The sequence below is a fragment of the Homo sapiens genome, chromosome 14 (assembly GCF_000001405.40).
Source record: "Homo sapiens chromosome 14, GRCh38.p14 Primary Assembly".
NCBI lineage: Eukaryota > Metazoa > Chordata > Mammalia > Primates > Hominidae > Homo > Homo sapiens.
This window is the reverse complement of record NC_000014.9, coordinates 47541672-47557178: the sequence shown is the minus strand read 5'-3', so window position 1 is coordinate 47557178 and position 15507 is coordinate 47541672. Positions and strand designations below refer to the sequence as shown.

The following is a 15507-nucleotide window of genomic DNA, read 5'->3' as shown; positions in this document are numbered from 1 at the left end:
AGTTCAATTTTACTCCTGAATAATAATTTGTGAAATGTGTATTATGTACCTACTTTCTACAAAAATAAAATGAACTATGCGCCCTGGGGAATGGAAAGATTCCAAATGCATGGTTGTTCCCTCCCAAAGAAGCTATGCCATTGTGGAGCTTGCTGAGGCTAGTGTCAGAGAGTGTGGCATTCACTGGATACATGTGTCTTTGGATCAATCACTTTGTCTCTCAGTCTTTTCTTTATTAGCAAACTGGGGAGAAATCCTCGATTACAGAGCTATTGTGTGCATTAAATTTTTTAATGCAGAAATTTTAGCAAATAATCAAACACCACATAAAGATACTAAACATCCCAGAAAAGCTTACAGAAGGAGCGAGGAACTGTACCAATTAAACGTTTTAGTTTTATTTTAGTAAAAGTGCCATAGAGCTATAATAGCAACTATTTACTGAGCTTGTATTATATGCCAGGCACTTTTCATTTTAAACTCAGATAATTTTACAATAACTGTATGAAGTTGCAACTATTATTTTCTCCATTCTGCAGACTGGGATGCAAAGGTTAAAGAAACTTAACTTGACCAGGCTGTTCCAGCTGGTGTATTAGGGATCCAAACTTACATAATCTAGTTTCTCTGTTGTTCTGCTCAAGGTGATGAAATTTTGGAAGCTGAGTTTACTTCTGGCTGTAATCCAGAAAAATTGTCTTTAAAATGCAACCTTGGAAAATACATAGAATTCTAACAAGTGCAGATGAATTTCTGAGAAGATCATTCCTGACCCAGGGGATTGTGTGAAGAAAGGATCAGGAGTGGGAATGTATTGGGCAGGATTTGGAATGACTTTTGCAGATGTCTGGAGAGAATTGAAGAGGCAATTAATTACAGGTTCTGATAGTTGGGATAGATCAGATTGTGGAGTCTTAAATGTCACTGTCTGGAGTTTGTGTTTGATTAAGTGGGCAACAGAGTCCTATAAGCTGTGCTATGTGTCACTTGCAATGACAGAACCAACTTAGAAGCCAGGCACAACCTAAGGTCTGATGCTGGGAAATTTGAGTGAAGCTACCCACCCGAATATAGCCAGAAAAGCTTGAGCAAAAGAACTGGGGGTCAGGTGTCTGGAAGGGAGTCACTCAGTAAGAGTGAATGTTAAGAACCTAGCTCAAGATAGGCCCTAAATTCAGAAATGTCAAAACTTTTAAGCAAAGGAAACTTTAAAGCCCAAGCAACAATTTTGTTTGTTTGCAGCCTGTTTGAAGAACCAGTTTGCTCTCACTGATGGCTAGGGGGATGGAGGAGCTTTCTTAGGGTTTACAAGCAGGGCTTACATGGAAAGGAAGGTAAATGATAGAGTTGTGTTTGTGGAAAAAATAATTACCAAAGGGTCGAGATGGATAGAAGAGACTGAAGATAGAAGGAGCAGTTTAAATGAAATCTAGTGGAGTTTTTGTCAACTTAATTATTTAATTGTGGGAGGTGGAGAAGATCTAGTGACTAATTTTTGCTGATTCACTATTGCTCTATTTTCTTATCTTCATTTTTCTGGGAAAATGTCTCTTGCAGTGTAAATATTTTTAACTCTTAAAAATATGATTGTGGTGGATTGTTACTTACATTCCTGCCTCTTGAGTCTTCCTTCTGAGGATATGGGATGATTATGACTTTAAGTTGAACATACATGGCAACTTAATGACAACACTGAGTATGGCATCATCAAATATCCCCAGCACACATATTGGTCAGAATAAAATGCTGTGTCTTTCCCAGACTCAGGAGTGTATAGTCTTAGTTCCATTCTATGTCCAGTTTCATCAGTCTCTCTTATACACAACTTACAAACTCTCCACAGCCACACACTCTCAGTTCTTATAAGAATGAGACTCCAGTGACTGAGAAAGTTGCAGCATTGTTGAATATAAAGCAATGAAAATCAAAGTTTCTGAGTTCTAATTCTAGTACTACTGCTAGATAGTTGTACGACCTTGGTTAAAAATATTGGAGAGATATTTGCCTTCAACTTGACTAAGAAAGCCAGAGAAAGCATTGGTAATGCTTTTTTTTTGGTCAGTGAGAACACACACAATAGGAATTGTATCTCTTGTTGCCAGCTTGTACTTTGACAAAGGTAGCCATTCTGTTCTAATAATCTCCTTTCCCATAACGTTTATAGGCCACAACTCAGGATTCAGAATGTCATTTTGGCTTAGTTGAACTTATTTGCTTGTCTGGACTTTGCCTTATTCTGTAACTCCACTGGGAAAAATTAGAAAAGAGAAATATGGGAATAAGGAAAAGAGAGGTCAGATAGGTCCATAACAGCTAGTGGTGAATAACTTTTGTTCTCAGTTTCCACACTGATAAAAGAAAGCATTTGAAGGAAGTGATTGCTAAAGCCAAAGTGTAAAGACTCTGTATTCTAAGTCTTCTAAGACTCTGTATTTGAATGTAACCAAAGTTTAGAGGTAGTGGATTAGAATAGAAAGAGTCCAGTCTCAACCAGAGACTCTTAGGTGAAATGGAAAACTATTTTTTGTCATTAAAATTAGGAAATTGGATCAACTCATTATTCAAACAAAACACGTAACATTAAAAATTATTTATCATGAATACAATTAGGGAAACAGATTTATTAAAAAATGTACTAGTAATAAAATTACCCTGTTCTTTGGAAATTTTCCCAAGAATTATTACCAACTTCTAAGCTGTTTAGTATTCCTATCCACCAGATATTCATTCATCCAGAATGAGTTAGTTCTTATGTTGTCAGGGTAGTCTCTGAAGACAAGATAATTTTTCAAGGTTTTGCCATTATTTGAGTGCATCACACAAAAACATAAGAGAAAACGAACAAACATGCATTTCAAAAAATATCTTCAAAGTTATTTTTCCTAGCAGCAAAATTCATATCCATATATTTGCTTTTCTGGAAAATAAAACAGAGACAAACTACTAGGTATGTGATATACTCATCATCAGAGACAGTCAGATGGCAAATGCAGACTGCAGCTCAGAGAAAGGAACACAGCCCAAATCAATATCACCTCTAATGGAACTCCCACGCCAAAATCCAGGACATAGGCATCCAGAGAATCAAATGCTCTTCCATAATGGAGAGTGATTTCAGCAACTGAACATTCATTGAAAGAAAATGGATTTCTTAAATGATAACGGGGGGTGGACGGGGAAAGGAGGAAGGATTAAAACAACAAAACCCAGACGAAAATACATAGAACTGCTGTTTTCCCACCTGAAAAATAAACAGAATGCTTCATTTCATTTCACCTGTGACTTAGCTATTAGGAAAGTATAGGTAGTTAGATATTATCTTCATTACTGATAAATATTTATTGAACACCTAACGTGTGCAAAATATTGGCAAGTTTCAGAGATGCAATAAAATATAAGACAACATATATACTTTTATGCCATATTTTTTCTATTATGAACTATATCCTATAGTATTGTTTTTATAAGTATATATACACATACACACATATATAAATACATTACAGTCACACACATATGTATACACATACTTGTATGTATGCAATGTATATGTAGGAAAATATCAGGAATAAATATTTCAAAATGTCAGTAACATTAAAATAGAGGTGACATTTTCTTTTACCTTTTAGTGTTTTCCAAAAGCTTTCAAATGTCCACACTATTATTTGAAAAAATTAGCTATTTAAACATTAAATAAATAATAAAGATATAATTCATTTCAGATATTACTTAACAAGTTAATTATCTATTCATGTTACATAATAATAGAAATTGTTGAATGCCTAGAAGGAGTTCCAAGGAACTGACCATAATATACTAGTTGATTTCTAGACATCACATGTCATAGCCATAGTTATAATGTTTTTTAGACATCTATTCTGTGCCGAACACTTTTCTTGTTGCCAGAAGCAGTGAAAAAGTACACAAAATTCTTTGCCCTCAGAAAGTTCACATTCTAGCGGGGAGAGTTAGATAATGATAATAGAAGCCAATAAATATGCAGTACATCAGATGATAATAAATGTATAGATAAAATAAATCAACGAGGTGGCACAGAGTGCCAAAGCAGAGGTTAGGGCCGCCTCAGGTTAGGGCCGCCTCAGGTTAGGGCCGCCTCAGGTTAGACCTGCCTCAGGTTAGGCCTGCCTTAGGTTAGGGCTGCCTTTTAAAATAGGTTGATGAGTGAAAGTCTTCCTGAGAGGGTAATATTTGAGTAAATATCTGAACGAAGTCAGGGAACCAGCCAGCAGATAGCTGAGGGAAAAGCAATCCATGGGGAAGGAACGTAAGTACAAAGATGATGTAGCAAGAGCTTGCTTAGTGTGTTTGAGGTATACAAAGGAGTCACATGGAGACTGAAAAAAGGCAAGATTAGGGGTAGTAAGAGATGTTATTGTGCTTTTAGTAAGAAAGAAAAAATTTGACTATTACTTTGAATTTAAAATTTTTTAAAAAGCCATTGGTGGGTTTTTACCAAAGGAGTGACATGATCTGACTTTTTCTCTTACATTTTTTTTTTAACAGAGAGAAAGAAAAAGACCAGTTAGGAGGCTGTTGTAGTTCAGGGGTGAAAAGATGGTGATGGTTTGGACCATTATAAAAGTGGTGGAAGTTATGAGGTGTGATCAGATTCTAACTGTATTTTGACATTATAATAAATAGGATTTGCTGAAAGATTGGATACTGTAGTATAAGAGAAAGTATTCAGGAACTTCCTCAATATTTTTGGCCTGAACAATGGAAAGGACATAGTTGCAATTTCCTAAGGAGGGTTAAACTGTGGAAGAGCTTTAGCTCAAAGCCAGTTTTGGACATACTAGTTTGGAAATGCCCATTTAATATCCAGGTGGAGTCATTGAGTAGACAGTTGGATAGTCAGGTCTGGAATTCAGAAGAAAGCTTGAGGCTGGAGGGATACATACGACAGTCAAAGGTGGTATTTAAGTCTGTGGACCTAGGTAAGATCTCTGGCAGAGTGAGTGCTTATACAGTAGAAATGAAGGTCAAGGGCTAATCCTGGGAGAACTACAATATATAGGGTCACTGAATTGAGATAAAAGCAGGGTAATATGAAATGGCAAGGGAGGAGGAAAGAAAACTAGAAAAGTTGATATCTTGAAATATTATTTTTAGTCTGGTTTAAAATAAGCCCCAAATGATCATAAATCTTTCAGAAATAACGTATCCTTTCTTGCTGGAAAACAGAAAAATAACTGGAGTCCTTTTGTAAATACTATTGTTGATGTTATTTCTCCTACTGTTTTTCACTTTCCTCTTTCACATATATTAATTTCCTCTTACCGCTCCAAAAATAATAAAGATAAGATCTACCGGGAAAGGACAAATGGGAATTGATTTGTACCTCGTAAGTATTACATGAAAAAAAAAATTCTTAAATATGGCTACAAATTCTTTTGAACTTGTTTGTTTTGTGTTCCAATATGTCAAGGAATAGATATCCACATGTAATACTAAGGTCTTGGGAGACCTGGCTTTGCATCTATTAATATTTCTATTGCTTTTTATTTTGTGTGAATTCTTGGGAGATGCAGGATTGATATATAAAATGTCTGATAATGCAGAGATGTCTATCAGTGATTAATAAGAGATCAAATTGGGGGAAAGGTTGAAATTATTAATGTAGGATGGCATGGACATCCTTTATTTAAATAAAATGTCAGGGTGTTTCATGGAAACCCAGAAGAACAATATGTTTGTATTTAGGTATGGTGTGAAGAAGTGAGAACATCATGATATTTAGCCTGAAGTGCAGCTGCATGCAGTAGATATGTTTTGATAGAACAGAAAAGCATAGAAAGCAAAAGTGTTTATCCCCAGGCAAAGAACAGGCTTCAGTTATTTCTGAGCTGGTCATCAGAAATCACCCTAATAAGTTAAAGGCTGGTCTGTGATAAAAGGCTAAAGGAAAACCACCTACCTAAGCAGTCTGGAGGCAGAATTTAGAGCTATGCATTTCAAAATATTTTTTTAATCAAAAACAATATTATCCTCTTAATTATATTAAACAATTATTAAAGTTGATTTGTATTTTAACTTAATATTTACATATATACTAATACATTAATATTACACATATCTTTCTCATTTTAATAAGTACTTTCACCTTTATGAATGCCCTTCAAAAGTGTAAATTAATAAGACTCTATTTGTGCTTTAAAAAGGCTAGGTTGGTTTGCCTCCTACATGTTCCATAGAGATCAATTCAGCCTGGTGGCCGCAACTTGACTTGGACTCTGCCACTCTCAGTGTGAATGCTGGGCCAACCTCTGCTCTTTAAATTAAACAAGGGAGTGTTTTCCTGTGTGTTACCCGGTTATCAAAAATAAGATTCCCCTAAACAGAACTGATTATAACTGGTAACAGAAGCAAAACCATTGTCCCATCTGGCAATATTCATATAATTTCAGGAATTCTGCTTTATTATTAAATGCAGGGGCAGTGTTTACAAAGATGCAGTCTCATATAGTGAGACAAGAATTTGGTCTTTTCTTTTTTTCAGGATAGTGAATTTAAAAGTGAAAAAAAAAACAGTGAATGAATCATGTATTAACTTACATAACATCTAAGAATTTCTGTGATTTTCTTCACCAAATCATCTACTCTACTGATAGGTTGTTCAACAGTACTGTAGACTCATTTAGTGTCACATACACATTCTCTGCAATATCAGTGTCTGTGATAGTGGTTTTATATTTATAGAGTATGGCTTTTATATGCTTGATACTGTTGATTCCGAAATAAGTGAAGGAATATTAACATATTGAAGTGGTTTGCCAAACATATTGTACTGTATCCTATAGCCACAGCCACAGTGGGATTATAATCATTTTATTCACAAAGAAGTCACTAGTAAAGAAAATAAAATGCTATTTAGCCTTAAATATCTAGTTTAGAAATTGTCACTAAATATCTTTGAAAGACATTTTATAAAATTAACTTTACTAGAGTATATGAACCTGAGTACCTGGGAGTGTGAATCATTAGCTCAAATTAGGAAAGACGTGGGGGCAGGGGTACTGATTTAGTTATGAGTTCTTTTTGGAACTTGTTGAAATCATGAGGACAAAAGAACATCAATGAAGCAATACCCAGCAGGAAGTTTTTTTAAAGTATGCTAACAATTCACAAGTGAGCTTAGGAGTTGAGAAGGAGATTTGGGGATAGTAGCTGTGTTTGTCAGCTTGGGCTGCCATAACAAAATACCACAGATTAAATGGCTTAAACAACAGCAAAATTATTGTCTCACAGTTCTGGAGGCCAGAAGTCGCAGATCAGGGTGCAGCATAGTCGCTTTCTGGTGAGGGCTCTCTTCTTGGCTTATAGACAGCCACCTTCTTGCTGTGTGCTCATGGGGCCTTTCCTTAATGCATGCATATGTGGAGGGTTGGCAGTATGAGAGCAAAAGAGTGCTCTTTGGTGTCTCTGCTTATAAGGACAACCAGTCCTATCAGATCAGGGCTCTTCACCCTTATTACCTCATTTAACCTCAATTACATTCTTATAGGCCATATCTCCAAATACAGTCACATTGAATATTAGGGGTCCAACCTATGAATTTTGGAAGGAACTTAATTTTGTTCATAATAGTCAGCAAAGCCAAGGAATAGGTAGAATTGCTGATGCTTTGCATATTGAAAATATAAGAGTATAAGAGCCAAAGGAAAAGTCTGATAGTAAAGAATGATGAAGACTAAGAGAAACCATTGACTCTGGGTAGTAAAGTGCCATCATGAGAGAACCACACTGGAATGGTGGAAAAAGGACCTCCAAAAAAAACTGTTCTTCAGAGAGAGAGAGAGAGAGAGAGAGAGAGATAATACTGGTGAAACCTATCAACATGAACTTTTTTAGAATTCTAGAAGTAACTCAAAAAGCTGCAACAATCCAGAGTATTTATTTGAGAAAAATCATTGAATTTCAAAAAGAGCAAAGAACTTTGTGGCATTTTTTTGCTTTCTCTATGTTCATCCCACTCTCCCTTACCAACCAGCAGCTTCCTGAAAGCAGTAGCTATGGAAACCAGCAGGGTATCATCCATTGGTGAGAGACAACAGATTTGGAACCCCTCAAAAAACTCCATCCTCACTGATTTGTCACTATTTGACCTGTCTGGCAGATCCCTGAAAAAGCCCCATTCACAAGTTCTATGTTTTTTTACCTCACGTAGAGCTCATTCAGTGAGGAAAGGCCTATCACTCAGGAGTTTGTTGAAAAAAAATAAATAACCTCAGCTGCAGTTGTGAACATTGTTGCTGTCTGAAGTAGTGATACCATTTGGGCCAAACAATAGACTGACTACAACTTTAAAGGACAATTTAAGGAAAGAGAAGACCATAGGAGATATGATAATGTCCGCCATACTTCTGGAGATCTAGAAGGCCGCAGGCATGTGCACGCTGGCCACATTCAGGGTTGTGTGCATGCCCAGAAAGGAATTCAGAAGACCTTAATTTCTCACCCTTGACTGATCTCGAGGCTTTGCACAAACAAGAAGTGAAGTCTAAGACAGTTTTTAAATGTTAGAATTTTGAAAACACACCTCCAATACACACAGAGAGCTCCTATTCAAAAGCTAAGAAACTTACTGGTTCAATGCATTTAAGAAATCTCTGTCTCATCATTTGCTGCTCATATGCTAACTAAGCAGAGACTTCTATGGATGCATGTAACAAAGTATATAGACTTTCTGGATTAGTCCTTAAGCAAAAAAATTAGTCATTAAGCAAACAGCAGCAACAACAAACTATGGGGATGGAGGAATCTGTTTCTTAAATTGTCCCGTTTTCAACCAAAAAAAAAGAAAAAAAGTCGCAAGAAACAGGAAAGCAATGCTCATACAGAGGTTTAAAAAAAAAGTCAAAACAAACTATTCTTGAGGAAGTTCAGATGATGGGTTCAATTGAGAAAGACTTCAAGTTAGTTATTTTACATATGTTCACCAAACTAAAGGAAACTATGTAATAAACTAAATGAGAGAGCTCTAGACAGTAACCTGAGACCACATGAAGTAATAAAGAACGCAGGTAAAAGTTACTCTACACATGCATGTAAAAGAGAGTACAAATATATTTTAGTTTGTAACTTTTTTATCTGATTTAAAAGGCAACAGTATAGTTTTAGAAATTGGGTTGGTGGATTTATCATATATAAGGATGTAATTTGTGTGACAATAATAGCAGAAAGCAGGGGAGGGGCGAACATAGTTATATTGGATCAAAGTTTTTGCATGGAAATTAAGTTGTTATTAATTTTAACTAGATGGTTAAGATTTTAGATTAATCGTATTTAATAATAACAACCACATCTAAACCTAGGGATATAATTTTTATGCATTTACAAATGCTCAATTGATGCTTTACAGAATTTACAGTTATAGAATTTAACTAACTTGTTCGTGGTCATACCAAGAGTAAGCACAGAGCCAGATTTTAAATCCAAGACTTCTTATTTGAGAATCTCTGTGTTTAACATATTTTAGGCTTTGAAAGAAGTTTATAAAGCAGTAAGCAACTTTTATGCTTTTACCTGGGCAAACCTGGGAATGTCAAGTAGCTGTGAAAAATGCTATTTCTCTCTTAGCTGCAGCCAGTTTCTCTGACTGTCACCCTTACTTGGCATGACTGATTCCCAACTCCTGTCCTCCCAACTTTGTATTCCGTTCAGACCAAACCCTGGATGGAAACACATAAAACCTAGGAAAGGAAAACAGGAAGATGAGGAAGTTGGAGAAATCATGTTCTTAGGATCTCCCCTTCAGTTTTTGATTCTGTTGAGCACCAACAGTGATACAAAATAGAGGTGCAAGGATGAAAAACCAAGGGGCTAGTGTTCAAAGGTTTCAAAGCCTGTAATGAATGCATGTGGCAACTGATGACTGCAATTCTGCCCATTACCTTTTATTGTTGCCCTGGCCCTCTTCTGTATATACTGGATGCAGTCTTTCTTTCATGTATAGAAGAGTCTTAATTCAATCTTGTTGTGCTGTCACTGTCTTATCAATAATGAAAAAATTAGGTTAGGACTAAAGTAGAGCTGTTTTAGTCTAGATTTCCTTTTGGTAATTCATGTGAGACACCCTCATTAAAAACTGAATGGGCCTAAATAACATGCTTCAGGAAAATATACACTGGGGATAATTTTTTTTAAAAAACAACTTGTTTTGTTCCTTTGTGAATCATGGAGGACAAATAACCTTGGTTAAAATAAGTTACTGACAGCTTTAACATTAATTCATTCCATTTACTGTGTGCCTAAAATGAATCAGGTACTGTTCTAGGCATCAGGCTCTAAAGTGAACAAGATTTAACTCCCTGACTTTCTGGAGATCCACTGAAGGTAAAAAAGGGAATAACCCAGGAGCTAGAGAGACCAAGAAACATTCTCAAGGTTTTAAATTAATTTGAAATCCCAGACACTCAGCCCCTGTTTCTGGAGCTCCCACAACCCTTCTTTGATGGCCAGATCCCTGGTCAAAACCAAAGGGATTTTCCTGTGTGTCTCATTTTGGAGCCTTTCCATTTCTCATGTTCTTTGGATAGAGTTAGTGGCAAAGCAAAACTTCTACATTTGTATGGAATTACTTCCTGATGGTCCAAATACAGTCCTTGAATTTGTTTTCCCATAGAAATATGATGGTTCTCTTCATATTCAATATTCAGTAAATATTGTAGCCTGCTTCAATAATACTATGATGAGTAGATTCTGTAGGTAAACATATACCTGTATGTGTGTGGATATTACACAAAATTAGTCCACATTATTAGTTGATTAATAACTGTGTCTTCTAATCTTTCCCCAGAGCAACCACCTGACCCCCTTGAGTGTTTTCCAGCAGGACTCCTTTCTTCGCAGCATACCTAGTTACATGCTGCTCTCACACTGTATCTTATTAGTCTCTATTTCCTATCCTTACTAGATTCTCATGCCTGTTAAGCTATATCATTCTGCTTAAATCATGTTTTCCAAGTTCATGTTAAAATGAAGCTTCTATATAAAGTATTTTTCTCCCCATCTGTAACTTCTCTTCTTCTGAATTATCATAAAATTATGTTTGGATTTATTTTAGCATACCAATATACTACTTGGCATAATAGTTTTGTTTTTCTCCTAAATACAGTACTTTTTTCTCCATTCCACCATTAAACCAGTCATTTAAAAGGCAGAAATTCTGCTTAAAGCATCTAAATGTTTCCCAAAAGTGCTTAGCACAGCACTGCATACTGAGATGAACACTTAAAATACAACCTGTTCATAAAGTGGGCTACATTAATTCCAGCCAGGCATCTCAATAAACACTATTTTTAAATTGATCAGATGCACTTGAAGGGCATTGCTTTCACGCCCCCACACTATCTCCTTGATTTCTTTTTGTAGCCCACCACTGTACATGAGACTGCTGCTGTTTTTTTTTCTTATTATCATTATTAAATACTTGATGTTAGAATCCAAGCAGCTTCTTTTTTCCTTTGACCATGACGATTTCTTAAATGTCATTGATTGAAACCACAGAGTTGAAATGTGTTTTAGGGAATAAAGCTTTGTTGGAAGAAAGTCACCTGTGTAAATAAAACATTATAAGTAGAACCCTGCATAGTTTTCCTTTGCTTTTGGTATGTGCAGACCTTTAATCTATAGCTTTCATTCTTCTTTATAATGTATATCAAATCATGAACATGTTCTTTTTTGAGAAATAAAGTGTATTCTACCTCTCTCACATGATCCCTGCCCCTCTTTCTAATCTTTTGTGATCTATAGAAACATGAGATGTTTTCAAACCAAATATTGAGTCTATCTGACCACAAAATGGAGATTTCCTCTTTAGTGAAAGTGTGTGTTGATGGATTTTATGTTGTGCAATTTAAACTGCTTCTCAACCATTAAATATGGACACTTAAATGCATTTAGGATTTAGACATCAGCTTTTAGTGGCATCAGCCTTCCTATTTTGTTCTCTTTTTTTGCACAAGTATTAAACACAGCCAACAGTGACTTCAGATTAATTCATGGATATGAAACTCATTTGTCACAGAACCTGACAGATTTTCACAATACTAATAGAAGGCCAGCATTTTTCATTTAAATATTGAACTTGGTGTTGCATAGTTGAATAATGAAAATGATTCTTCTTTCTTAAAAAATTAAAATCAATTTTGGTTGGCACAGAATTTAGATAATAATTTTATACTCACTTACCTTGGTATCATTCTGTTAGTAAATTAGATTAAATTTAGAAAAGATTGTTTTACTTTTAAAAATAAATCCAGTCTGAAACTGCAGCCATCCTTGGTGATCTAAAGGGTTCTGGGAATAAGCTATTTCATATTGGCCCTGTAATATTACTGTCATGGTATCTACAGGTTTGATCCCATTAGACAGTCTTCTTTGTATTATCTAGTACAGACTGGATGGGAGAAACAATGTGATTGGCTTTGCTAATTAACCTCACCTCTTGTGGGAAGACAGAGTCCTCACAGCCCAGCACTTCACAGGTCATTAACCAGTTGACCTGGTATTCAGTGTACTCCTCTGGACCCATCAGTGACTACCCTCTGTACAAAAAATAAACCAACCAATAGCATTAACAACAAAGCAAACACACACAAAAAAACAAACAGCATAGCACTATCTTACGAGGAAGCATCTTTGCTGGAGAGGGGAGTATTAGGCTTGGCAGACACATGATTGACATATCCCATCCACCCATTCATTCAGAATTGGATTTGAAGAGGCAACAATTACCTCACATTGAGCTTTCCTGGCAATTAAAAAAATATGCAATTTAGGAAGCATATATTTTATTATAGTTGTTAGCCCATAACTACAAGTTTTAAATAGGAAAATTGTATATTTTACCTTAGGAAAGCAAGTTAGTAAAATGCACTTTAACCTGCTAATGGTTTTTTTAAAAATCAGGGAGCTTACACACGTAGTCTCATGACTGGTTAGGCATGAACACAATTTGACTTTTAATAACAGTTATTTTCTCACTGGTGATATTAATCTTAAAATTTAGTCTCTGACATACTTTCTATAGTCTTTATATTTCAAATGTGTGGACATTATCTTTAATTCTTTTGACTATATTTAGTATTAGAACTTTATAAGACCCGTTCTCAAAGCTTCAAGATATGCCTGAGGAGGACCAAAGAAGTTTGGCTAAATGTTTCCTAGTAAATATAATGGAAAGACACTGGATTAAACAAAGTTAATCAGGTTTTTTGCAATACATGTTCTCAAAGCCTTTCTATGTTACATATTTTGGGACTCTGGACTCTGGCAGAGAAGGTTAAGAAACCGACCCCTGCTCTTCTTTATACTTAGAAAGCTCACTGGACTAATGCTCTGTAGTTTTCACTTTGCCAAATGATATTTTAGTGCTTAATCTCTTAGATAGCATCTTTCAAAACATCTCCCTTGATGATTTATAGATTTTTATGAAGTCTGGTGACTAGATTAGATGATTTATGACTATACCTCTAGCAGGGTGCATGAGTGAACACAAGATATTTTTGAATTATCTGAGTATATTCATTTGAAGTGGCAAGAACAAGGGTCATTAACTTATTAACCATGTGGAAAAACTAGAAAATTGATGGTGTCATCTGCTCAGAAGTTATATTCAGTTCATTGCTTTGGATCATGCTTATGTCCTAAACTCTTTTATACTGAAGTGTCAACGATTTAACCAGCCATCTCCTTATTTCAAGGTTAGTGTTTACTTTCTGCTTGTACATCTTAAGACAATAAGGCAAATTATAATAATCCATGAGACAGTGAACTCCGTTCCTGATGTTGTTTGTCACACTTTCATAATTGCAATTATTATTTTCTGCATTTTTTAAATATTTTTCTACTTCCCATTCTTTTTGTTTTTTTAGAGTGCGTGCATTACTCTATAACCTAAAAGATAAAATACTTTTATAGATCTATTTTCTCTGCTGTTGTCGCTGGGACAGGGTCTTACTGTGTTACCTAGGCTGGAGTGCAGTGGTGCAATCATGGCTTACAGCAGCTTCGACCTCCCAGGCTCAAGTGATTGCCCCACCTCAGCTCCCAAGTAGCTGGGACTACAGATGTGCACCACCATGCCTGGCTAATTTTTCTATTTTTTTGTAAAGACAGGTTTTTGCCATGTTTCTCAGGAAGGTCTCAAAGTCTTGGGCTCAAGCAATTTGCCTAGCTTGGCCTCCTGAAGTGTTGGAACTACAGGTGTGAGCCAGTGCACCCAGCCTATACATCTATTTTCTAATTCAACACAGTGTCTGACACATCTTTGTATTATCCAGTTGTCAATATCCACAAATTAGTTAATGCCAAATATAAGAAGCAATTATTGCTTGTTAATTAAAATAAAACAATACTAAAATGTATATAAAGTAGCATTTTTATAATAGCACCTTAGAATTGTTTTGTCAAAATTTTTTTAAAATCTGATTTAACTGGTTTATTTTTACTCCAGTTGACTTGTAGGTACATAGCAATTTTTAAATGATATTATTATGTCTTCAACCTACTAATGACTTAAAATACTGTCTCTCTTTAAACTATACTAGAGTGTAAAGGATATAGTAACAGTCTTGACTCTGAATTTACCAGTAAGAGTATAAATATCACTAAAATTAAATAAAAACTGAAAAAGCATCAACTACACTAATCATAATCAACCTCTGACTTATATTGTGTACCAACCGATTCATCGAATTGCTTCTCAGAGGTTTTTACAAAACTCACAGGAAATTGTCTAAATACAAATCTTTTCAGAAATAAAGATGAGTTTTTAAATGTCTGTTAAAGGCATAATAACAGAAGATATTGTGAGTAGAATATCCTAAGGAGAAACATGTGCTTTTCAAAAAATAAATATTTTGGCTCCCTATAAAATACAATCTTAATTATTTATTATGACCATGTAGTCGCAGAATCATGGAACACAAGTGGTGCTTTAAGATTATGCTTTAAGGCTACATCATCCATTCTTTTGCCTTGAATGAGGGATAATTCGTAACAAAATAATAATTGTTTCTTATTCCTTATCCTCCTCCTTCATGGTTTTCCTATCTTTGTGTCTTTCTCTTTTCCTAACTCTTTCTCTCTCTGTGTCTCTATATTAGTCAGTTTCTTCTTCTTTCCCTTTTGTGTTAGACGAAGTAAGGAAAGTAGATGATAATGCGTTGAGAGAGCAGTTCAGTAATCCAGAACAGTATGTGGTAAAATGAGTGACAGCACCAGTATTTTACTTTCCGAAGAAGACAAAGGAGCCTTGTGTGATTCTCCCTATAAAGCAGAAGACAGATTCAGGCTGCTCAGGGGAGGAGCAGCCAGAGCCCTGGAGGACAACCTAAGAACAGTATTGGGAAGTGATTGCAAGGCTTAAGAAGAGGATAAAATGGAGTGGTTTCCAGGGGAACTCAAACACTGTAAGAAAATTAGAGATTGTAGATGAAGACATTTCTTCAAGCTCTCAGAGCGATTAAGAGGTAAAACTAT

General features: G+C 35.5%; 1 protein-coding gene across 4 annotated transcripts in view; it reads left to right on the top strand.

The window, feature by feature from the left end:
* MDGA2 (MAM domain containing glycosylphosphatidylinositol anchor 2) overlaps positions 1-15507 on the top strand; it is an 835983-nt gene that overhangs the window by 118427 nt on the left and 702049 nt on the right. The window lies entirely within an intron of this gene.